Source organism: Homo sapiens, chromosome 16 (genome assembly GCF_000001405.40).
Source record: "Homo sapiens chromosome 16, GRCh38.p14 Primary Assembly".
Classification (NCBI taxonomy): Eukaryota; Metazoa; Chordata; class Mammalia; order Primates; family Hominidae; genus Homo; species Homo sapiens.
The window spans coordinates 66,805,053-66,828,788 of NC_000016.10; the positions used below are offsets into that span (position 1 = coordinate 66,805,053).

At 40.4% G+C, this 23,736-nt stretch overlaps 1 protein-coding gene across 5 annotated transcripts in view; it reads right to left on the reverse strand.

Moving 5' to 3' along the window:
* NAE1 (NEDD8 activating enzyme E1 subunit 1) overlaps positions 1 to 23,736 on the reverse strand; it is a 28,099-nt gene that overhangs the window by 2,175 nt on the left and 2,188 nt on the right. The window contains exons 2-20 of one of the 5 annotated variants that reach the window (NM_001018159.2): positions 22,928 to 23,025; positions 21,625 to 21,728; positions 21,471 to 21,531; positions 19,803 to 19,833; positions 18,477 to 18,548; positions 18,175 to 18,254; positions 16,398 to 16,507; positions 13,476 to 13,585; positions 12,373 to 12,435; positions 11,913 to 11,976; positions 11,529 to 11,620; positions 8,735 to 8,794; positions 8,512 to 8,645; positions 5,645 to 5,720; positions 5,322 to 5,361; positions 3,937 to 4,023; positions 3,469 to 3,561; positions 860 to 974; positions 725 to 774 (exon numbers count right to left, since the gene is read on the reverse strand). In NM_001018159.2, coding sequence (NP_001018169.1) covers positions 725 to 774; positions 860 to 974; positions 3,469 to 3,561; positions 3,937 to 4,023; positions 5,322 to 5,361; positions 5,645 to 5,720; positions 8,512 to 8,645; positions 8,735 to 8,794; positions 11,529 to 11,620; positions 11,913 to 11,976; positions 12,373 to 12,435; positions 13,476 to 13,585; positions 16,398 to 16,507; positions 18,175 to 18,254; positions 18,477 to 18,548; positions 19,803 to 19,833; positions 21,471 to 21,531; positions 21,625 to 21,728; positions 22,928 to 22,962 — 1,477 coding nt within the window. In that variant the 5' untranslated portion in view covers positions 22,963 to 23,025. Of the gene's footprint in view, positions 1 to 724; positions 775 to 859; positions 975 to 3,468; positions 3,562 to 3,936; positions 4,024 to 5,321; positions 5,362 to 5,644; positions 5,721 to 8,511; positions 8,646 to 8,734; positions 8,795 to 11,528; positions 11,621 to 11,912; positions 11,977 to 12,372; positions 12,436 to 13,475; positions 13,586 to 16,397; positions 16,508 to 18,174; positions 18,255 to 18,476; positions 18,549 to 19,802; positions 19,834 to 21,470; positions 21,532 to 21,615; positions 21,729 to 22,927; positions 23,026 to 23,736 lie in introns of all 5 variants that reach the window. The other 4 variants (NM_003905.4, NM_001286500.2, NM_001018160.2 and 1 more) reach the window with 4 other exon arrangements.

Below are 23,736 nucleotides of genomic sequence, written 5' to 3' on the forward strand. Positions count from 1 at the left end.
ATTTTTGAGTTGGGTCTTGAAGAACATATAGGTTTTGGACATGCAGAAAAACATATTTTTAAGGCAAATAGGCACAGAGGAGCAAAGATCTAGGAGCAGGAAATCAAAGGGCATCCTGGGGGGAAAGCAAGTAATATGATAAAACCAAGGCTGGAAAGGCCGAGTGGAACCAAAACACAGGGTTTTTTAACGTCAAGCCAAAGTCCTTGGACTTGCTTGGAGGACTGTTGTAGAGTGTTATGTATATTGGTGGGGCAGAGGGTTAGTAAAAGGACACAATCAGAGCTATGCTTTAGAAGGATTAATGACTCTTAAGGAGTTTAAGTTGGATGGCAGTGGGAGAGATGGAAGGCAGGGAGACCAGTATAGGGGCAACTGAATAAATATCCTAACCTGAGCAACATAGTGGGACCCTGTCTCTACAAAAAATTGAAAAATTAGCCAGGCTTACTGGCACATGCCTGTAGTCCCAGCTATTCAGGAGGCGGAGGCGAGAGATCACTTGAGCCCAGGAGTTTGAGGTTGCAGCGAGCTATGATGGCATCAATACACTCCAACCTGGGCAAAACAGTGAGACTGCGTCTCAAAAAAAAAAAAAAGAAAGAAATATAACATCCTGCTTCACTGACCTCCCTAATTAAAATAGCTAGACGACAAAACTTTGTATTAAAATAGTAACTGTACTATGTAACAACAGGTGAGTCTTCTCATATATGGAACTCACCCCCCAAGAATGCAGCAATGGTATGTGGCTCAGCAGCTCCATATCGGCAACTAAAGGAGACCACAGAGACATGAATTTTGATTAGCCTTATGACAGGTGTGGAATCATCTCCTAGATACCCTAAAAAATACTCACAATTCGTGGACATAATCATCTTTCACCATTACAGATAAACCATATTCCTGAAGGAAGCCAGTGAGACAAGACTTCAACTTTCCTATATCTTCTTCAACTTGATAGTTAGATACTCCTAAAAATAAAAGTTAGTTTTCATTAAAATAAATGTGATTCAAAATTAATGGCCAACTCCTTTATTTAATCTAGTTTCAGATGTTCTAGTCAAAATATGTATGAAACTGAAGAACAAAAATAACAAAGTATGAGACCAATATTTGCACATATCACAAACCTATAATCAGAGACCAACTAAAACCTAGTAAAAATTTGAATTTAATTAAATCTTTATTAATTGCATCATATTCACTGTCTAGAAAAGCATCTGGCACATAGTGCTTAATAATTATTTGATAGAAGAACTTAATGAATGAGAAAGTAATGTCCTACTTATACCCTTTATAAAAGTTATTCTCCAATTCTAAAAGACTAAATGATAAATGACACTGAGGACATAAAGCTATTAATAATAGGTAACTTTTTTTTTTTCTTTTGAGAGAGAGTCTTGCTGTTACCTAGGCTGGAGTGCAGTGGTGCAGTCTCGGCTCACCGCAACCTCTGCCTGCCGGGTTCAAATGATTCTCATGCCTCAGCCTCCCAAGAAACTGAGACTACAGGAGTGCGCCACCACACACAGCTAATTTTTTCTATTTTTAGTTTCAGTGTTGGCTAGGCTGGTCTCGAACTCCTGGCCTCAAGTGATCCACCCGCCTTGGCCTCCCAAAGTGCTGGGATTACAGGTGTGAGCCACCATGCCTGGCCAATAATAGGTCACATTTATTGAGCATTAATAGATGCTGGACACTGTTCTAAGGACCTTATATCTATATTAATTGATTGAATCCTCAAAACAGTCCTATGAAGTATGTATAGTTATCTCCATTTATAGAAGAGAAAACTAAAGCACAGAGAGATTAAGTTACTTAGCTCATAAGTGATGCTGTATGACTTCCAAAGCTAGGTCATAAAAAGCCCTGTACCTTCCACTTGGGTTTTTTGGAATGTTAACTGCAGAAGCCAACTGACATGCCAAAAGGAAGTCCAAGCTAGCCACGTGAAGAGATACCTGACCAGCCGCCAGCTATTCCCACTGTTCTGACTAAGGTGCTAGTTACATGAGTAAAAATGTCTTCTTGCATGTCTAACTCAGTCAGTCAAGCCTTCAGAATGACTCCACCCCCAGGCTCAAGCAACTGCATGCCTCCCCAAGGAGAACTGCCTGAGACCAGGCAACCCACAAAATCACGACACTATTTATTGTTTTAAACCACTAAGTTTTGAAGTGGTTTGTTATGCAACAGATAACTGAAATAAATACTAATCAAATAATACAAATAAAGCAATACATATTTGGTGTTTATTCTTTTTTTTTCTTCTAGTAAGCTTGCTTGTTAGGACTATAAACTCTGGGCAGCGCAGTGGCTCATGCGTGTAATCCCTGCACTTTGGGAGGCCAACACAGGAGGATCACTTGAGGTCAGGAGTTCGAGACCAGCCTGGCCAACACGGAGAAACCCTGTTTCTACTAAAAATACAAAAATTAGCTGGGCGAGGTGGCGGGCGCCTATAGTCCCAGCTACTCGGGAGGCTGAGGCAGGAAAACTGCTTAAACCCAGGAGGCGGAGGTTGCAGTGAGCTGAGATCACGCCACTGCACTCCAGCCTGGGCGACAGAGCGAGACTCCGTCTCAAAAGAAAAAAAAAAAAGACTATAAACTCTGGAGACACACTGTATCAGATGGAGCAGCAGGTTTTATGATACCCCTAGAATGTGTTGCTATGCAATAATCCTGCACAATTAAAATTATCATCCCAAAGAAAAATATTCTGAGCAACCTCAGATCTTTGAGATTATGCCAATTCTCCAATGACTACATTTGCTGAAGATAAAAAGTAGATAACTAAACAAAGAAATTCCTACATCTTCAGAGTTATTGAGTTCAGAAATTAGTAGCATACTTTTTTTTTTTTTTGAGACAGTCTCACCACAGTCACCCAGGCTGGAGTTTAGTGGCACAATCACAACTCACTGTAGCCCCAACTTCCCAGGCTCAGGTGATCCTCCCGAGTAGCTGAGTCTACAAGTGCACACCACCATGTCTGGCTAATTTTTTGTATCTTCAGTAGAGATGGGGTTCCACCATGTTGCCCACGCTGGTCTCCAACTCCTGGGCTCAAGCAATCTGCCTGAATCAGTCTCCCAAAGTGCTGGCATTACAGACGTGAGCCACCGTACTATGCCTGGCCAGCATATTTCTTGTGGCTTTCCTATTCCACTAAATTAAACTCAGTGTGAGTCTTAGTAACAAACTATGGAAAATGACAGAAAAAAGTTTTCTTCTATACATATTCAACCAACATCCCCCTGTAATAGTTTAGAATCGAACACTATTTTGCAAATAGTTAAACTTAAAAAACAAAAGGTGGTTCTTCACTGGGGAACGTTTGGGGTGTAATCTGTTTACAATGTGAAATTCAAGCAACACTATTATAAATACCCTGAGAACACTTTCAATTTAAATGTTTTATTGAAGATCTTATTATATCTGGTAATTCAATTGCTATTCTTACCTGGATATCTACCCTGTTGTTTATGAAATCTATCAACAGCCCGTAACATTAAGTACAACACTATTTCATTATCTGGATTGTCCATGCTAGAAACTGAAAGGAAAAAAAATTTCAGTTTAATTTGGTTAATTTGCAATGTAACAAACAATGAAGGGCTGAATTTACTATATACTTGAGTTTCAGGACTATTAACTGGAGTCACACAATCTCTACTGAAGTAGTAACATACTGACTTTAACTCATACATATCACACAATGGACTCAGTGACCTAAATATGACTTTATGCATACATTAAGTTTCATATAATATATAAATTATAATTACCTAGATAAGCTTAGAATAAAATTAGAATATGTTTACGTTATCTTTAATATCATCACCATATACTCAACACTATTATACACAAAATATTTATATCTTTTAAATTAATTAAAATTAACCCAGAATCAGAAGGCTATTATACTTACTAATTTCATCCTTGTTAATTGTATCCAAACCATATTCTTCAGCTAAGGATCGACATCTTACCACTCGAAGAAATGCAGAATTGCTGCCTGAACAGAGGAAAGATATTCTGGAAGTAATGACTGTGACTGGTGAATATTATGAATCACAGGTGACTTTAAGAACAGAGAATTATGTGTATACCCTTCTCAGACATGAGAATGTGAAGAAATGTTTTCTCCTTGGTTCTAATAGCAGAGAAAGCACTAGAACATGAATCACCTTAAATTTATATCCCTGGCACTACAACCAGTTCAGAAGCAAGTAAGGTGATGGCCTCTCTGAACCTCAGTTTTCAAGTGTAAAATGGGGATGATACTGTTTACCTTTGAGAATTGTTCTACAGATTAAATGTGACATCTGTATAAAGTGCATCTCTAGCACAATGCCTGATATGGCTCTAAAAATAATAGTTTTCATCATTATTATGGATAAGTAGTCCTAAAGGAGAGAGGTTTATGAATTGTACTCTTGATATATGTAATGACTTTAAGCTTTGTATTATTGAAATTTTCAAAAACGCCCCAAAGTAGAACAGAATAATAAATGTTCAAATACCCAGCATCAAACTTGTGATCTAGTATTATATAATCTAATACAACAAACGCTAATTCAAGATTAGTCTAATAGAACAAACAAGGTGCAAGATTAGTAGTGGCAGAAAACATTAAAACCGAGCCTAAACAGACATTGTGGAGAAGTCATAAAATGGAAAGCTTGGATAAATCTATTTTAAGGATGGGGAGCATGCAAAATATAAACTTCCACAGGACGTAGGAGCAGTAGCTACAGGGAGAAATCTTCAGATGGCATGCACAACAGATTGGGTATTTTGAAACTGACTCTTAAATAAAAGAAAATGCTTTTGGCCTACTGAGGAGTTACTGAGAAGACTCCTACGAACCTAACCACTCCGAAACTAGATGGCAAAATTCTTAACTCCATTACAGTCATTTAACACAGATCAAAATGAGTATTTAAACCAATATTGTCAATGTACATGTGACTCAAGACTTCACACCCAAAGTCTTCAGACAAAAAAACTTCCTAAATTACTTAAAATTTAAAAACTGAAAATCCTGTATTAATGGCAATTTTCAATTAACTGACCGTCAAGCCTTTTTAGCATTGCCACAGATAAACATGTTCTACCTCTGATTCAGTCTTAAAATACTCGCCATGTATTGTATTATGAGAGGAAAAAAAAAACCTTACCCAATAATTATCTATATCTATATCACTGAGGCCATGGAAAACTTAAAATTTCAACCATTCAAAATACCTGGGAACATTCCCTGTGGCACATTTCTATCAAGCAAAATAAGGAAATTAATTCAAGGGGACTTACAGAGTAATTTTAATTCTTTCTCTGAAATGGACTCTGGTGCCTGTAAAGAGATAAATACAGATTCTGTTCCAGTTTAAAAGAGAAGATTAACAAAGGGTGCGGCACAAAGCCAATCACTGTGAGATGGGAAGGCTTTCTCCAAGAGCTGGGAGAGCACTTTAAAAATATCTTGTTTCCTTATCACAAGCTATCCCATTAGGCAGGGAAATGACAGCTCCCTCTAAAGAAGCACAGAGGCAGTGCCACACCCTCTGTCTCTAAACCCTTTCTGGCTGGAGTTACGTGCTGAGGCCTGTATGGGCACAGTGTGCCCAGTAGCTTACCTGGCCAATGGACTGCAGCAATTTGGCAACATGATTACCCACAGCGGCAGCATCTTTCTTTGCTTTTTCACGGTAACTAAAAAAGAATAAAAAGCAATTACTAACAAATTTTTAAATTAGCAAAATTTAAATTGTTACCATGAACAAAAATTTTCTTTCCTTTTCATGAAAAAACACAGGTCTGACAATGTATGAAATGTGAAAATGCCAGGGAAATGCTATCAACAGCACCATGAGTAGCTGGGAATCTTTCCAGTGTTAGTGACGGACTCTCAGTGCCCACTAAAACCCAGGGTCCCTCTAACAGCACCCAACTTAAAAACTGCTCCCCTAGAGGGATCTATGATTTCGGCTTCTGTGACAGAGGACCTGAAAAAATACATTACTGAAGAACATGACTTATCTCCTGGAAGTCAAGTCCAAGGAAAGTTAAATACATTAAAACTGTTCATCTCCAATGTAAAACTTCTTTGTTTTTTGAGACAGGATCTCGCTCTGCCACCCAGGCTGGAGTACAGTGGCGCAGTCCTGGCTCACTGCAGCCTCAACTTCCCACGCTCAACTGATCCTCCCACCTCAGCTTCCCAAGTAGCTGGGAATTCAGGCACACGCTACCATGCCCGACTAATTTTTGTCTTTTTTGTAGAGACGGAGTTTCACCATGTTGCCCAGGCTGGTCTTGAACTCCTGGGTTCAAGTGATTTAGAAACTGAAAATACTGTATTAATGACAATTTTCAATTAACTGACCTTCATACCTTTTTAGCATTGCCATAGATAAACATGCTCTACCTCTGATTGTTTTAAAATACTCTGTATTTATTATGAGAGGAAAAAAAAACCCTTACCCAATTATTATCTGTATCTATACCACTGAGACAGACCATGGAAAACGTAAAATTTCAACCATTTAAAACAACTGTGAACATCCCTTGTGGCACATTTCACCACCCGCTTTGGCCTCCCAAAGTGCTGGGAATACAGGTGTGAGCCACTGCATCCGGCCATAAAAGTTTTCTTTACGTCTATTTACCTTTCACCCTCTAAAAATCATCAGTGTTCAGGCTGACTACCTCCCATGTAAGGTCATACTTCTTTCTATCCTCAATTGACCTTCCCCAAGTTTTAAGTAGTTGAACTCTTAGGCTAGGACAACAAACCAAGATTCGTTCAATGGTGACATGATAAAGAGTGAAATCTGTCTGGGGAAGAGAGATCATCTCTGTGTGACATTACTTGGACCCCAAAGAAACCGAGCCAGCAGACCTGGATTCTTTGCACCATGCCCTAACTATACGAGGGTCATATTCATTGAGACCCATCCCTGTGATAGTCTATCTGGGTTCAGGCTAGTGATACCTGGATAGCAAGATGTCTAGCTATAGTCATAGACTATAACTTATGAAACATTAAGATAAAAAATTCATCAAACCTTCATGGTTTTAAGTTACAAATACAAGGTAGTATAGGGCCATAGCTAAGCATACAGGCTCTGGTACTGGGTTTCCTGGGGTTCAAATCTTGGTTCTGCCATTTACCAGCTATCTGACCTTGTATAAGTAACCTTTTCAATACCTTAGTTTCTTCATGTGTAAAATGGGGCCGGTAACAGTCTCTCTCTCTCTCATAAGGTCGTTGTGAACCTTGTGTGTGTGTTAAATTACTTAATACATATAGTTCATAGCACAGAGTTAAGGGATCAAATATTAAGTTTATCATGAAGTATGAAAAAAAACTCTGCCTCCTAGGCGTATGTGGTAATTCTGTATTTCCCATTCAATTTTGCTTTGAGCTTAACAAGAATTGCCCCCTAAGTTCTTTTTTTTTTTTTTTTTTTTTTTGAGACGGACTCTTGCTCTGTCTCCAGGCTGGAGTGCAGTGGCACGATCTTGGCTCACTGCAACCTCCGTCTCCTGGGTTCAAGCGATTCCCCTGCCTCAGCCTCCCGAATAGCTGGGACTACAGGTGCGCACCACCACACCTGGCTAATTTTTTGTATTTTTTTAGTAGAGACAGGGTTTCACCATGTTGGCCAGGATGGTCTTGATCTTCTGACCTTGTGATCCACCCGTCTCGGCCTCCCGAAGTGGTGGGATTACAGGCGTGAGCCACCACGCCCGGCCTAAGTTCTTTTTTTTTTTTTTTGAGACAGAGTCTCACTCTGTCGCCCAGGCTGGAGTGCAGTGGTGCGATCTCCGCTCACTGCAAGCTCCGCCTCCCGGGTTCACGCTATTCTCCTGCCTCAGCCTCCCGGGTAGCTGGGACTACAGGCGCCTGCCACCACGCCCGGCTAATTTTTTTGTATTTTTAGTAGAGACAGGGTTTCACCGTGTTAGTCAGGATGGTCTCAATCTCCTGACCTCGTGATCCGCCTGCCTCGGCCTCCCAAAGCGCTGGGATTACAGGTGTGAGCCACTGCGCCCAGCCTGGTCTAAGTTCTTCAGCTTATTTTTACTTATTTATTTGAAACAGGGTCTTGCTCTGTCACCCAGGCTGAAGTGAAGTGGCATGATCATGGCTCACTGCAGCCTCAAACTCCTGAGCTCAAGAGATCCTTCTGCCTCAGCCTCCTGAGTAGTTGAGATTAAAGGCGAACACTACCATGCCCACCTAATTTTTCAATTTGTAGAGATGGAAGTCTCACTATGTTGCCCACGATGGTCTCAAACTCCTGGACTCAAGCAATTCTCCCACCTTGGCCTCCCAAAGTGTTGGGATTACAGGCATGAGCCACTGCAGCTGGCCTAGTTTATTTATAAGCAATGAGGTTGTAATAAACTTTCATTTGATTTCTGACAGGATGATAAAATGTTTATCTCTAATATAATCAGACTTTTTCTATTACATAGTTTGAAAACAGTGACATACACGTTTTGCAGTTTTATATATTTGCCTGAATCTGCAATCATATCAGGAATTGTGCCTCGAACAGGTAAATTTCCTTGACCCTCTTTGGCCACAAATTCCTTTAAGGCACGAGCTAAAATCCAAAATGATGGAGTCTAAAAGAATAAGAAAAAATTAACATTAAGTGGCGTTTTACTTTGACCCAAAGTTTTAGCAGCAATGTTTTTACTTTTGTTGTTGTTACCTGTTTGGTGATATTTATGCAGCGATCATCATTAAATATATCTTCAATACTGCTTGGGATCTAACAAAGGAACATGAAACATTTACTTACACAGTATTAAGAATTCGCCCATCTTTATTTTCAGTGCTATTTCTTCAGATATGTTCTTTGAATTCTCAAATTGTAATCAAATACAAACTTCTGATTGGTTTATAATTTTATTTAGAATCAGTACCATATGAAGATTTGATGGGGAAAGAATGGAAGAAAGACCTCTCCGGCCCACTGTTGCTACCATTTAATACCTATTCTCTTATACCATAAATGGGGTAAAGAAGGGGCCCCAGTAAATTATTTTATATAGTTACATCTGAAGACAAAACAGATTATAGACTCGCAGTATATCATGATTTTCCATCTTGTCAAAAATCTGAAACCCTTGCACCCTAATTAGTGACCGTTGAGACAACCACTCTGAAAAAAACTAAAACCATAAAGTAATTTTATTGCTAGCAAGATCTTCATACGTTAATCAAGAGTATAAAGCTGAGCACAATGGCTCATATCTATAATCCCAGCATTCAGGAGGCCAAGGTGAGAGGGTCATTTGAGCCCAGGAGTTTGAGACCAACCTGAACAAAACAGGAAGACCCCGTCTATAGAAAACATAAAAGTAAATTAGCTGCGCGTGGTGGCACGTGCCTGTGGTCCCAGCTACTTGGGAGGCTGAGGTGGGGGGATCACTTGAGCCCAGGAGGTCAAGGCTGCAGTGAGCAGTGATTGTGTCACTGCATTCTACCCTGGGCACCAATGTGAGACCCTGTCTCAAAAAAAAAAAAAAAAATACACACACACACACACACAAATCATAGGCTTGGATTCTACTGATGGGTGGAAAAAAGAAATGTCTCAGTGGGACCTCCTAACTGCTCTCTCTGCTTCCACTCCCAGTCCCCTCAATTGTGTTCTCCTCATGAAAGCCAGAATGGTCTTTTAGAATACAAAGCAGCTCAATCCACTTCCCTGACTGAAATGCTTAAATAGCCTGCAAGGCCTTTATGATCTGGCCCTTTCTGCCTCTCCAAACTCAAATCCTTCCTACCACTTTTCCCCCTTTTACACTTCACTCCAATCACACTGACTTGCTTACTGATGCTTGAACAAAAGTCAAGCTTCATCCCACTTCTGGGCCTTTGCACATGTGCTCCCTCCAACTGAAAAGCTCTTCCACCAGACCTCTGCGTGTCACTTCACTCAGGCTTCTGCTTAAATGTCTTTTGGAAAGTCTCCCTGGCTCCCTATGTACAATTGTCTCTCAACCCCGGATTCCCTTGTCCCCAGCATGCTCTCTGACCCTTTGTTCTGCTGTAATTTTGTTCACAGCACCTGGTGCATTTTTATCTGTTTATTTAGCTTACTGCCCCCCAACTATTAGAATCTTTTCTTTTCAACTGTGGTTTTATATTCAGTGAAATACAGAGATTTCAAATGTCCAATTCAATGCATTTTGATAACTATATATACATATTTTTAACCATAACCCCAATTAAAACAGAAAATGTTCATCACCCCAGAAAAGTGATTCACAAAGCACATTTATTTTTTGGACACAGGGTCTCATATCATTGCCCAGGCTGCAGTGCAGTGGCACAATCATGGCTCACTGCAGCCTCAACCTCCCAGGCTCAAGCGATCCTCCCACTACCTTAGGCTCCAGAGTAGCTGAGACTACAGGTGCATGCCACCACACCCATCTAATTTTTAAATTTTTTGTAGAGACAAGATCTCCCTACGTTGTCCAGGCTGGTCTTGAACTGGGCTCAAGCAATCTTTCTGCCCTGGCCTCCCAAAGTGTTGGGATTACAGGTGTGAGCCACCACACCTGGCCAGCAAACACTTTTTTTTTTTTTTTTGAGACAGAGTCTCGCTCTTGTTGCCCAGGCTGGAGTACACTGATGAGATCTCAGCTCACTGCAATCTCCACCTCCCAGGTTCAAGCGGTTCTCCTGCCTCAGCCTCCCAAGCAGCTGGGATTACAGGTGCCCACCACCATGCCCAGCTAATTTTTTGTATTTTTAATAGAGATGGGGTTTCACCATGTTGGCCAGGCTCGTCTTGGACTCCTGACTTCATGTGATCTGCCCTCCTCGGCCTCCCAAAAGTGTTGGGATTACAGGTGTGAGCCACCGCGCCTGGCCCCAGCCAGCACACTTTTAATCACTCAGCAACACTGCCTTGTTGTCTCTAAAAAGTTGGTAATAATATCTTACGTGCCTTCCTAACTTGAAAGGCAGCATATTTGCTGTTTTAAGTTACAAGAAAATTCTAACTTAAACTACCAGGTGTTATTCCAAAGCTCCCCAAAAACTTCAATGGTCAGACCTCAACAACTAAGCCATAACAAAACCAAAGGCATCTGAGGCGGAGTCTTACTCTGTTGCCCAGGCTGGAGTGCAGTGGTGTAATCTTGGCTCACTATAACCTCTGCCTCCTGGGTTCAAGTGATTCTCCTGCCTCAGCCTCCCGAATAGCTGGGATTACAGGTATGTTCACCATGCCCAGCTAATTTTTGTATTTTTAGTAGAGACGCGGTTTCACTATGTTGGCCAGGCTGGTCTCGAACTCCTGACCTCAGGTGATCCACCCGCCTCAGCCTCCCAAAGTGCTGGGATGAGCCAGCATGCCCGGCCCTGTATTTATTTCTAACTATACATTTAGAAAATATTAACTTAAATCATTATAGTCAACCATTTAATAGCCAAGGACTCTAGAAAACATCTTGTTCATGTGAATCCCTCAGCAACTCTTTCATTACCTGAGTTGTATTTAGTGCTGTGTTCACATTTTTAATAGCTTCTTCAAAATTCTCTTCATCTTCTGGAGCCCCATTTTCATTTTTTAGAATTCCTATTGTAATGGGAAATTGTTAGCAAACAGCCCTTTTCTTTTCACTCTTCTGTTCCCCCATTATAAAAATAACCTTGTCAGATCCTGCAGAATATTAAATCTTAAGAAGAAATACGGCTTATCATTAGTCCTTAAAACTATACAAGGCGTGGCTTCTTAACTTCTCCAGAAGGAAAATAAAAGCTCATGATGCTATCATCTGACAAAGGTGTTAACAGAAATCCAATAAGTACCTGCCTCTAGCAATTTGCTTTTCAAGCTTTATACAGTATTTAATCATATCCCATATTACCTTGTCTAATCAAATCTCTGAAGTCCTCTTTTTCTTTATACGTTTTAGGTATTCGTCCATTTGTCTAAATTGGTTAAAAATTTTAAAAATCTAGTTATTAAAATTCAAAATACAGAAATTGAAAGTCTAAAGTGTCCCCCATTCTCTACATAAGATTTCATCAACAAATATATTTCTCTGTGAAATCAGAGGCTCACTTGATAGAAAACAGACACTGTGACCATTTATCTACATTCATTCCCCCTGCCAGTTTCATAATGACATTTATTGAATTTCATTTTAATTAAAATTATCAGGATCAAAAGAGGAACTGCTAGATTTAAATTTAAAAGCATCCATTTGCCCTACCATACAACTCCATAAGGAAAAAAAATTAATCTCCCATTCCCCATCAAGGAAATCCTTTGTAAGAAACTGAAAATACAGTTGCATATGAAATTTTTTTTAAAAAAGGACATACTTCACTATACCACTGTGCTAAATATTTAGCTATGATCACAATCCATGGAGTATGACTGTGGTCCTAAAAATGAGAGACAAATAAAAGAAAATATCAGTATTATGAATTCTTCACTGTACCATCTCGTTTTCAACAAATTCAACAATATTTATGATCTCCTAATATATGCAGAGTAGTGAATAGACGAAAATGAACTGAGTTAATAAAAACTGCTTTACAAATTTTTCTAGAGGCAGATACCTAGTATGTCACATATATACTATGATTGTCCCCATTATACCAGCAAAACAGTCTCAGAGACTGCCACCCAAAAACACAGCTCAAATCTCAATTTCAGACACCAATCCTAAGTAAGAAAGGAGGATCTTTTCTGTTTTCTGATGAACCAAATAAGCAACTGCATGTTAATTAATATGGAAGTGGGAAAAAATACATATACGCCTTATAGTGTTATGTCATTATTTCTATTTGTTTAGAAAAAGTCCATAAAGAGAACTTCTTGGAATTTTTTTATTTCTGTTTTTTGTTTTAAAATTTTTTACTTTCAATTTTTGTGGGTACTTAGGTGTATATATTTATGGGGTACATGCTTTGATACAGGCATGCAATGTGAAATAAGCACATCATGGAGAATGGGGTATCTGTATAGCATTTATCCCCTCAAGCGTTTATCCTTTATGTTACAAATAATCCAATTAAACTCTTTTAATTATTTTAAAATGTATAACTGAGTTGTTATTACTAACTATAGTCACCTTGTTGTGCTTTCAAGGAGTAAATCTTATTTATTCTTTCTAATTTTTTTTTGGTACCCATTAACCATCCCCATCTCCCCACCTGGAATAGGTTAATGTCCAATTTCTTGACCTGGGTAGTGATTACACAGATGTTCAGTATATGTACTTTTCTTCAGTAAAAAAGTTTTTTAATTTTGGAGAAAAATTAATATGTTGAAAACAAGGTAAAATACTGTTATTGGGTAATCGGGATGACAGGAATATGGAAGTTTATAGGATTTTCTCACTTTAGTGTAATTCAAAAACCTTAGGTTAAAAAAATGTTTTAAGTCTATCTGTAAATGTAAGGTCACACACACTACCAACCTTTTTTTCCATATGATCCAAATCATAGGACTGAAAATGTTCTCTCAGTTCAGGAAATGGCTTATCTAGTCGTAGATCCTCTAATGCATTATCTGGATGAGATTCTATTACTGTGAAACAAAGAATTCAAAAGGATAAATTTAACACTTAAAAAAAAAAAAGAGAGAGATGGGGTCTTGCTGTATTACCCAGGCTGAAGTACAGTGGCACAATCACAGCTCACTGCTGAAACTCCTGGGCTGAAGGGATCCTCCCACCTCAGCCTCCTGAGAAGGTGGGACTACAGTCTCGTGTCACTGTGCCCAGCTAATTTTTTTGTAGGGATAGGGTCTCACTATGTCACCCAGGCTAGTCTCAAACTCCTGGATTCAAGGGCTCCTCCTGCCTCGGCCTCCCAAAGTCCTTGCATTACAGGTGTGAGCCACCGTGCCCAGCTCAAAAGATAAACTTAATTCTTTGGCAATACTGATGACAATACATTGAATTATAGAAACTTAGGAAATCTTTAATTTTTAAATGGACACAGGGCCCACAGGTTTTTTCACTGTTTTATTAAGGTACGATTTACATATAGTAAAATGCAGAAATCTTAAGTCAACTATAAAGTTTTAGTAAAAGTAAAACCAAGATTCCTTTAGAACACAATTTGTTCTAACTGGAAAAGCTCAACATTGACAAACCCTAGGTACAGATAGCAACTAACAACCTATCCTTCCTCCTCTTGTGGTCTTCAATAGACAGCATCACCATCTACCTAGACTTCTTCTCCAGAAACCTGATGGGCATCCTTCACTTCTTGCTTCCTTGGCCCCAACATCAGTAACTCCCCACTTCCTAATCTCACTCTGTACACTGCTCTCCACATGAGAGAGGACAGGAGAGTGTATAATTTCAGTGAGTGCTTAGAGGTAGGCCCAGTTCTGTCACTTGCTAACTATGTGACCTTAGGCAAATAATTTAATCTCTCATTGCCTCAGCATCATCTATAAAAAGCAGATATTAAAGTATCTACAGATTGTATATCTCTCTTATCCAAAATGCTTGGGACCATAAGTGTTTTGGATTTTGTTGAGTTTTTGGTATATTTGCAAATACATATTAGATGAGCTCTCTAACCCAAAAATCTGAAGTAAGAAATGTTCCAATGAGTGTTTCCTTTGAATATTATGTCAGTTCTCAAAAAGTTTTGCATTTTGGAGCATTTCTGATTTTGGATTTTTGGATTAAGGATACTCAATCTGTACCTTATAAAGGTTTTGGAAAGAGTAAATGAAATAATTCTTATAAAGGCAGGCACACAACTAGTAATGCTGAACCTTCATTATTATCTACCCTCTCTTCTTCTCTTCCCTAAATTAGGAAAAAGAACACACTCTCTCTTACTTAGGCCACTGGAAATTTCTAACAGCAATCACTGCCTCCAATCTTTGCCCCTTTAAATCCATTTACTTTCCACTCAACTTCAAAGTGACCCATTTAAAATAAAATGTTTACATGGTCACTCTCCCACTTTCAACTCTTTTGTTCCCTCCCATCAGTTGACACCACTTTCAACTCTTAAATGGCTCACCACCAGCAGCCAGAGCTTATCCTGACAAGCACTCCCTAACTGCCCACACAGATATTACTCCTCAGTGATGCTACCAATGCCAATGGCTATCACCACATTAGCAGAGTGCTTGGCTCATAGTAAAAATGTTTTCTTGAGTCAATAAAGAGCACTGTTTTGAATACTGGATGAAAATTTTATGATCATCTAAGATTAAAATTTTATAAGTAAAGGGCTTATATAAACCCTCAGCTGATGGAGGTCTGCCTATAAACGACTTTGGTCTCTTACAACAGTTTCCTTGGGAACAGTAGTTATGTAAATGTCTTTGTTGTGTGAAATTGCACCTGAATTGAGAGAACCTAAAGCCTGCATGAGAATGAAATAAAAGATTGGACGGACCTGGTGCAGTGGCTCACACCTGTAATCCCAGCACCTTGGGAGGCCAAGGCGGGTGGATCACCTGAGGTCAGGAGTTCGAGACCAGCCTGGCCAACATGGTGAAATCCTGTCTCTACTAAAAATGCAAAAAATTAGCTGGGCGGCCGGGTGCGGTGGCTCACGCCTGTAATCCCAGCACTTTGGGAGGCCAAGGCGGGCAGATCACGAGGTCAGGAGATTGAGACCATCCTGGCTAACATGGTGAAACCCCATCTCTACTAAAAATACAAAAAATTAGCCGGGCACGGTGGCGGGCGCCTGTAGTCCCAGCTACTCGGGAGGCTGAGGCAGGAGAATGGCGTGAACCCGGGAGGTGGAGGTAGCAGTGAGCCAAGATCGCGCCACTGCAGTCCAGCCTGAGCAAAAGAGAGAGACTCCGTCTCAAAAAAAAAAAAAAAAAAATTAGCTGGGCATGGTGGCGGGTGCCTGTAATCCCAGATACTTGGGAGGCTGAGGCAGGAGAATCAGTTGAACCCGGGAGGTGGAGGTTGCAGTGAGCCAAGATTGTGCCATTGTACTCCAGCCTGGGCAACAAGAGCGAAACTCTGTCTTAAAAAACAAAAAAAAGACTGGAGTGGGGAAAGGTGGTGTAACTTCATGGGTCAGAGTGATCCACATTCCTTAGCTCTCCACAGCCATACATGCCCAATGTGGGTTAGGGGGCAAAAGAAGCTGGGTACTTGCATAGTTGCTGGATCTCCTAATAAGATGAAGAAGCTGTGCCTGTGGTATATCATGCTTTGTATCCTTCTATAATGCTACATAAAGAGTAGATTGCAGCCTATTGAATCTGATTGCCACTTTGAATCTGCAACTAGAGATGTGCTGCTACAAATTTACTTTGTAATTTAAAACTGACTTTCTAAATTGTCAAGTTTCTAAAATTATAGCTAAAGCAACCAATAGTAAGCCCATATGCTCAACAATTTTACCTGGATGTTCTTTTATAATGATCCTCATATAACCAACTAGTCCATATGTCCTACAGATCAAAAGAGGAATCTGGGAATTCCAGAGGACATCTGCTAAGCGTAGTGAAGTGCTGTTTAAAAAAAAAAAGCAAAATATGAACATAAGCAAATGGAAATATGCCAAACATGAAAACATGCAAAACATGAAAATGTCTTACAGCAACTTTCTTACTAAATAATAGATGCAAAGGTACATAACTGCATTTACATAAGCAGGTCAAGAACACACTGAAAAGCAAGCATTTCCACAGGCTGCAGTCTCAAAGAAAGTACATCTTTGGACAAGAGGGATGTGAAACTTTAGTCTGTCATATTAAGGAGAAACGTTAAAGAAAGATAATTCTAAACATTTCCATGATAGAGAAAAAATATAAAACCCACAAATACACCCCTAACAATTCCAATAACCAATTCTCTGTTGCCCAGGCTGGAGTGCAGTGGCATGATCATGGCTCACTGCAGCCTCGACCTCCCAGGCTCAAGTGATTCTCCCATCCCAGCCTCCTGAGTAGCTGGGACCACAAGCAGGCACACCATCTGGCTAAATTTTGTAGTTTTTGTAGACACAAGGTTTTGCCATGTTGCCCAGGTGGTCTTAAACTCCTGTGCTCAAGTGATCTGAACCTGTCTCAGCCTGGTTCTGCTGGAATTACAGGCATGAGTCACTGCACCCAGCCTTCAATAATCAATTCTAACTAGTTTTTAATCACTAAAACAAACAAAGAACAAAAACAACAACAACAAAAAAACAATGTTCGGTTTAACTGCTCTAAATATATTCCAAAAGTTTCACATCTAAGGTTAGGCTTGGTGGCTCCACAACTGTAATCCCAGGACTTTGGGTGGCTGAGGCAGGCAGATGACTTGGGGCCAGGAGTTTGAGATCAGCCTGGCCAACATGGTGAAACCCCGTCTCTACTACAAATACAAAAATTAGCCGGGCACGGTGGCACATGCCTATAATCCCAGCTATTTGGGAGACTGAGGCACGAGAGTTACCTGAACCCAGGAGGCAGAGGTTGCAGTGAGCTAAGATTGTGCCACTGCACTCCAGCCTGAGCAACAGAGCAAGACTCTGTCTAAAGAATAATAATAAAAAAAAAAGTTTCAGTATTTTTCTCTTCCTCATCTTTTCAATGCTGGAAGATTTCTAAGAATTTCTTTTATTTATTTATTTATTTATTTATTTTTTTTTTTTGAGACAGAGTCTAACTCTGTCACAAGGGCTGGAGTGTAGTGGCACGATCTTTGGCTCACTGCAACCTCCACCTCCCTGATTCAAGCGATTCTCTTGTCTCAGCTTCCCGAGTAGCTGGGACTATAGGCGTGAGCCACCACGCCCAGCTAATTTTTGTATTTTTAGTAGAGATGGGATTTCACCATGTTGGCCAGGATGGTCTCAATCTCCTGACCTCGTGATCCACCTGCCTCGGCCTCCCAAAGTGCTGGGATTACAGGCATGAGCCACCGTGCCCAGCCATAAATCTGAAACTCTTGACCAGGCACGTTGGCTCACACCTGTAATCCCAACACTTTGGGAGGCCGAGGAGGGTGCATTGCTTGAGCTCAGGAATTTGAGCTCAAGCTCAAAAAAAAAAAAAAAAAAAAAGTTTCATATTTAAAGTTTCTATAGAATTTAACAATTTTTAAAACCATATCATCATAGACTGTGCAAAGAAAATAAAACAATGCAAATCTAATAAGATTAAAATAAAAACATATTAACATAAAAATTTACCTTTCAGGAAGCTGAGTTGCAACTACAACAGTAAACCTACAGAAAAATGAGGGATCATTGTCTAGAAGGTTTTCTGGACTCTAAACAGGACAGCAAAGAAAAAAACAAACAAAAAAAACCAATTTCACAATCATATTAAACATGGCAGAGACAGTTAAGCTATTTTACAACAAATGAGGCAACAATTCCAATTCAACTAATCATAAATGACACAAAGATTCAAAATTCTAAATTTCTGGGGCTTTGAATTATTTAAAAAATTGTATTTCAGCACAGACATAATAATGTGTGTACATATATACCTCTTCCACAAAACTTCCAGAGACATCGCTATTTAATTCTTGTAAGAATTCCATGGCAGCTTCAGCTCGGTTCTTTTTAAAAACAAAGCATTTAACTTGAATTAGAAAAAACTTGGTCACAATATAATCCCCCAATTTATGGAACAGGCAAACATACTGTAAAACTATCCAAATTTCATGCATAAGTATGACAACTCTGTTTCCCTTCTTTTTTCTTTTTAGAGACAGGCTTTTGCTCTGTTGCCCAGTTTGTAGCATAGTGGCCTGATCATAGCTCACTGCAGCCTTGAACTCCTAGGCTTAAGCAATCTTCCTGCCTCAGCCTCCCAAGTAGGTGGGACTACAGGCATGTGCTACCATGCCCAGCTAATTTTTTAAAAAAATATTTTGTAGAGACAGGGTCTTGACATGTTGCCCAGGCTGGTCTTGAACTCCTGGTCTCAAGCAATCCTCCTGCCTTGACCTCCCAAAGTGCTGAGATTACAGGCGTGAGCCACTGCTCCCAGCCAATTCTGCTTCTCCTAGTGTTTAAGACTCAACAGAATATTACTTAAAACAGAGCAAAACCATCATCATCCAGAGTTCTCAAATGACATTACTTGTACTCTACTTTTTTGATTAGGCAAATGACCAAAAAACTCTGGGTAGCAGGCAGGGATATCCTGGATCAAGTTCAGACTCACTCTAACCACCCACATCTATAATCCTGTACAAGAGTGGTTAATCACTAAGCTAAAAGTCATTTCACTAAGTTGACTAACATGGTTTTGTAAGATTTTTTAGGCTGGGCGTGGTGGCTCATGCCTGTAATCTCAGCACTTTGGGAGGCTGAAGCGGGTGGATCACAAGGTCAGGAGATCGAGACCATCCTGGCTAACACGGTGAAATCCCATCTCTACTAAAAATACAAAAAATTAGCCAGGCGTGGTGGTGGGCGCCTGTAGTCTCAGCTACTCGGAAGACTGAGGGAGGAGAACGGCGTGAACCTGGGAGGTGGAGCTTGCAGTGAGTCGAGATCGCGCCACTGCACTCCAGCCTGGGGGACAGAGCGAGACTCCGTCTCAAAAAAAAAAAATTTGTTAACCAGAATGAATATTAACATTACTCAAGATTTAGCTTTAATACAGGATGCAATGTATAAACACAGACAGTACACCTCTAAGTTCTTAAACTACCAAACATATGAAGATTTACAAGATTACAAAAATTAGTTAACTTTTTTCTCAGAGAAATAATACACGTTTTTAAAGTCAAAGCTTTTCAAGCAATCAAAACACAGGGGCATCATTAGATGCTCACATCCAACTATATTCTCTAATTGTTTACCTTGCCGATACTGCTTCTTTGAAGGAAGAAACTAAAGTGAACAGAATAAAGGAAAAAAAAGTAAAGCTTACTGACTATAAAGGAAAAGTTGTTTGTAATAGCATGCATATTTCATTCACAGTATAAAACAAACTATATTGTGATTACAGACTGTAATGGCCTTCCTGGAGGAAGAAAATCAGATGGAACTTATAAAGAAAGATAGGCTAATAAATCAATGTTTCTTTCCCAAATTGTGTACCACAGCATGTGAATTTCACAAGATCCTCTGAGAGAAAAGGGTTCCTTGGCTAAAAACGTTTGGGAAACACCGGCGGGTGTGGTGGCTCATGCCTGTAATCCCAGCACTTTGGGAGGCCGAGGTGGGCGGATCACGAAGTCAGGAGATCGAGACCATCCTGGCTAATACAGTGAAACCCCGTCTCTATTAAAAATACAAAAAATTAGCCGGGCGTGGTGGCGGGCGCCTGTAGTCCCAGCTACTCGGAAGGCTGAGGTAGGAGAATGGCGTGAACCTGGGAGGCAGAGCTTGCAGTGAGCCGAGATTGCACCACGGCACTCCAGCCTGGGCGACAGAGAAAGACTCCGTCTCAAAAAAAAAAAAAAAAAGTTTGGGAAACACCATATACTATATTTCCCTCTTGGAAATTCATAATACACATAATACATGTGATACTAAAATCTTATGGTAAAGAAATTTTTACTTCATTTGATCCATTTCCCAAACTAATTTCACTATGGAACCCATTGGCCCATTTAACAGCTCTTATCGTTCCCTAGAACCGGTGTTCCACAGACCACTCTCGGTGTATTGAACCATTTGTTTTTGCACGTAACTGTAACAGATTTATTCAGGCTTCCTCCCACACATACCCTTGACATGTCTCAAGGCCCAGATATGAGGCTGCTGATCAGAGTCAGGATGCCACTTTTCGGTATAAGCTCACTGGCTCCATAAGAAGAAACCTTATTTTTATCACTTTCTACTCTAACCCACCAAGTAAGCAAAGATAACAAGACTTCTTGGTATATATCAATAAAAAAGCTGTGCTGTGCCTGGCAGAAACTGGCACTACGATCCAAAGAAAAGGCATCAAAACTAAATATGAACTAATTGCTGGTTTCCCTTATATTTACTCACTGTTGTTGTTACTGACAAACACAATGAGAGATACCAGACTTCAAGTCCCTGAAAAGGTGAGCTTTAAATCCAAATTTGGGCATGTTCTGAAAGTCTAAATATAATCTTTAAAGAATAATATACAGGCCATCTTTAAAACAGCATTTTTGTTGACACTGTAAAGAGAGATACCCCTAGACTAAGCCTAAAAGACATCACAAACAACAGGCATTATTGTTAATTATATGCTAACACCTACGGATCAATACAAGAGCTTAGGAAGTGCCCATATTCCATGAATAAAGGAATAACGACTACTCCTTTGTATTAATAACAATAAAGACAGTAATGATGGGTAACATTTATTAATGCCCTATTTGCCAGATGCTGTACTAGCACTTTACCTATATTATCTCACTTCCTCACCATAATCCCAAACATAAGGATGATTTCCACTGAGAGTCGAGTCACCCTGACTGAGGAGGTGAAGCTAAGACTCAGGCCTTGCCTTCCTTAACGTGAATATATTTGAAGAGAATAGAACATACTTGTTTCCAGCATCTTCTCCGCTGACCTGATTTCCATCAATAATTGTAAACGAACCAATACCTGAGAGCCAAAACAGAGTCAGTCAGGAATACATAGTTCTAGGTCATAAACTTAAAGAAGTATATTTAGAACACAACCACAAACCTACGTTACCTGGTAGTACCAAGTTTTTAAGAATTTCAGTTCCTGTGGCTGTTGCATTTATTAGGCAAACATGAGCAGATTCTAAAGCCTCTTGCCCATGATCACCCCACAACCTACAAAACAGACACAAATTTGATGTTTTTAAAACTTTCATGAAAATACAGCTTTCTTATTTGAATGGTGATCTTTAAACTTTCCTTGCATAGACTGATATGATAACCACAGAATACAGGTAAGACGGGAACAGATATTAGTATAGTGATTATACAGTAATCTAGAACTCAGGTTGATGCCTTGAATGGTTAGGGGAAAAGAGGGAGAGGGTCAAATTAGAAACAGAAACTTGGTCTTCCAGCCCCTTATCAGCCTGGGCACAAGAGCGACACTCTGTCTCAAAACAAACAAACAAACATTTAAAAAGCGTCTTTGGATTTAAACCCTCATCTGTTTTCTATTTCATTTATTCTTTGTTTTGTTTTGAGACAGAGTCTTGCTCTGTCACCCAGGCTGGAGTGTAGTGGCATGATCTCAGCTCACTTGGCCTCCCAAAATGCTGGGATTACAGGTGTGAGCCACCGTGCCCAGCCCTATTTCATTTATTCTTAAATTATGTTAGATGTGCCAGGTGCAGTGGCTCACACCTGTAATCCCAACACTTTGGGAGGCCAAGGCAGGCGGATCACGAGGTCAGGAGATCGAGACCATCGTGACTAACATGGTGAAACCCTGTCTCTACTAAAAAATACAAAAAATTAGCTGGGCGTGGTGGCAGGCGCCTGTAGTCCCACCTACTCGGAGGCTGAGGCAGAAGAATGGCGTGAACCCAGGAGGCGGAGCTTGAAGTGAGCCGAGATTGCGCCACTGCACTCCAGCCTGGGCGACAGAGCGAGACTCCGTCTCAAAAAAAAAAAAAATTATATTAGATGCATTTAAGTTAAGTTAGATGCATTTAAGATCTCGACATAGGGCTTATTACTGTGACTTCTGCAAAAGCTTTACCAAGAAAACTGAATTATCATCTGAAAAGCCTCACATCAACTTCTACAGGAGTGCTTTAAAGTATATTACCCAATGAACATTCTAATAGAGTGATTAATGTGCCTTCCCTGTTACCTGATTTAAAGCAGATTACCCCTTATTATGTAGTCAGTATGTCCTCCAGAGCATGTCAAGCAACTGCCTTGTTTTTTGTTTTTGTTTTTGATACAGGGTCTTACTATGTTATCCAGACTGGTCTTGAACTCCTGGGTTCAAGCATTTCTCTCGCCTCAGCCTCTAGAGTTGCTGGGACTACAGGCACAAGCCACTGTACCTGGCTTCATTTGTTTTTGTTTGCTGAGCATCCATCTTTCCACTCCACTGTATGCTCCATAAGGGCCCAGACAGCTGTCAAATGTATGGAGGAATCGCCTAGAAGAACCAGATGGACCGTAAACGCCTGTTTTCTCCATCAAAGTATGGCACGTAGAAGACACCTGACATATATGGTTGATGGATGCTTAGATAGTTGGAGAGTAAATTTAAGAATACTGGTGCATCTTGGCTGGGCGCAGTGGCTCACGCCTGTAATCCCAGCACTTTGGGAGGCGGAGGCAGGCAGATCACCTGAGGTCAGGAGTTTGAGACCAGGCTGGCCAACATAGTGAAACCCCGTCTCTACTAAAAATACAAAAATTAACCAGGCACAGTGGCACGCACCTATAATCCCAGCTACTAGGGAGGCTGAGGCATGAGAATCGCATGAACGCAGGAGGCGGAGATTGCAGTGAGCCAAGACCGCGCCACTGCACTCCAGCCTGCGCAACACAGTGAGACTCCGTCTCAAAAAAAAAAAAAAAAAAATACTGGTGCATCTCAAGCAGGGTGAGATAGTGTGTGTGCCTGTAGTCCCAGCTGCTTGGGAGACTGAGGCAGGAGGATCACTCCAGCCCAGGAGATCAAGGCTGTGGTGTGCCAATAATCATACCTGCGAACAGCCACTGCACTCCAGCCTGGGTAACATACTGAGACCCACCTCAAAAATAAAACAAAAAGAATACTGAGGCCAGGCACTGTGGCTCATGCCTGTAATCCTAGCACTTTGGGAGGCTGAGGCAGGAGGATCACTTGAGTGCAGAGGTA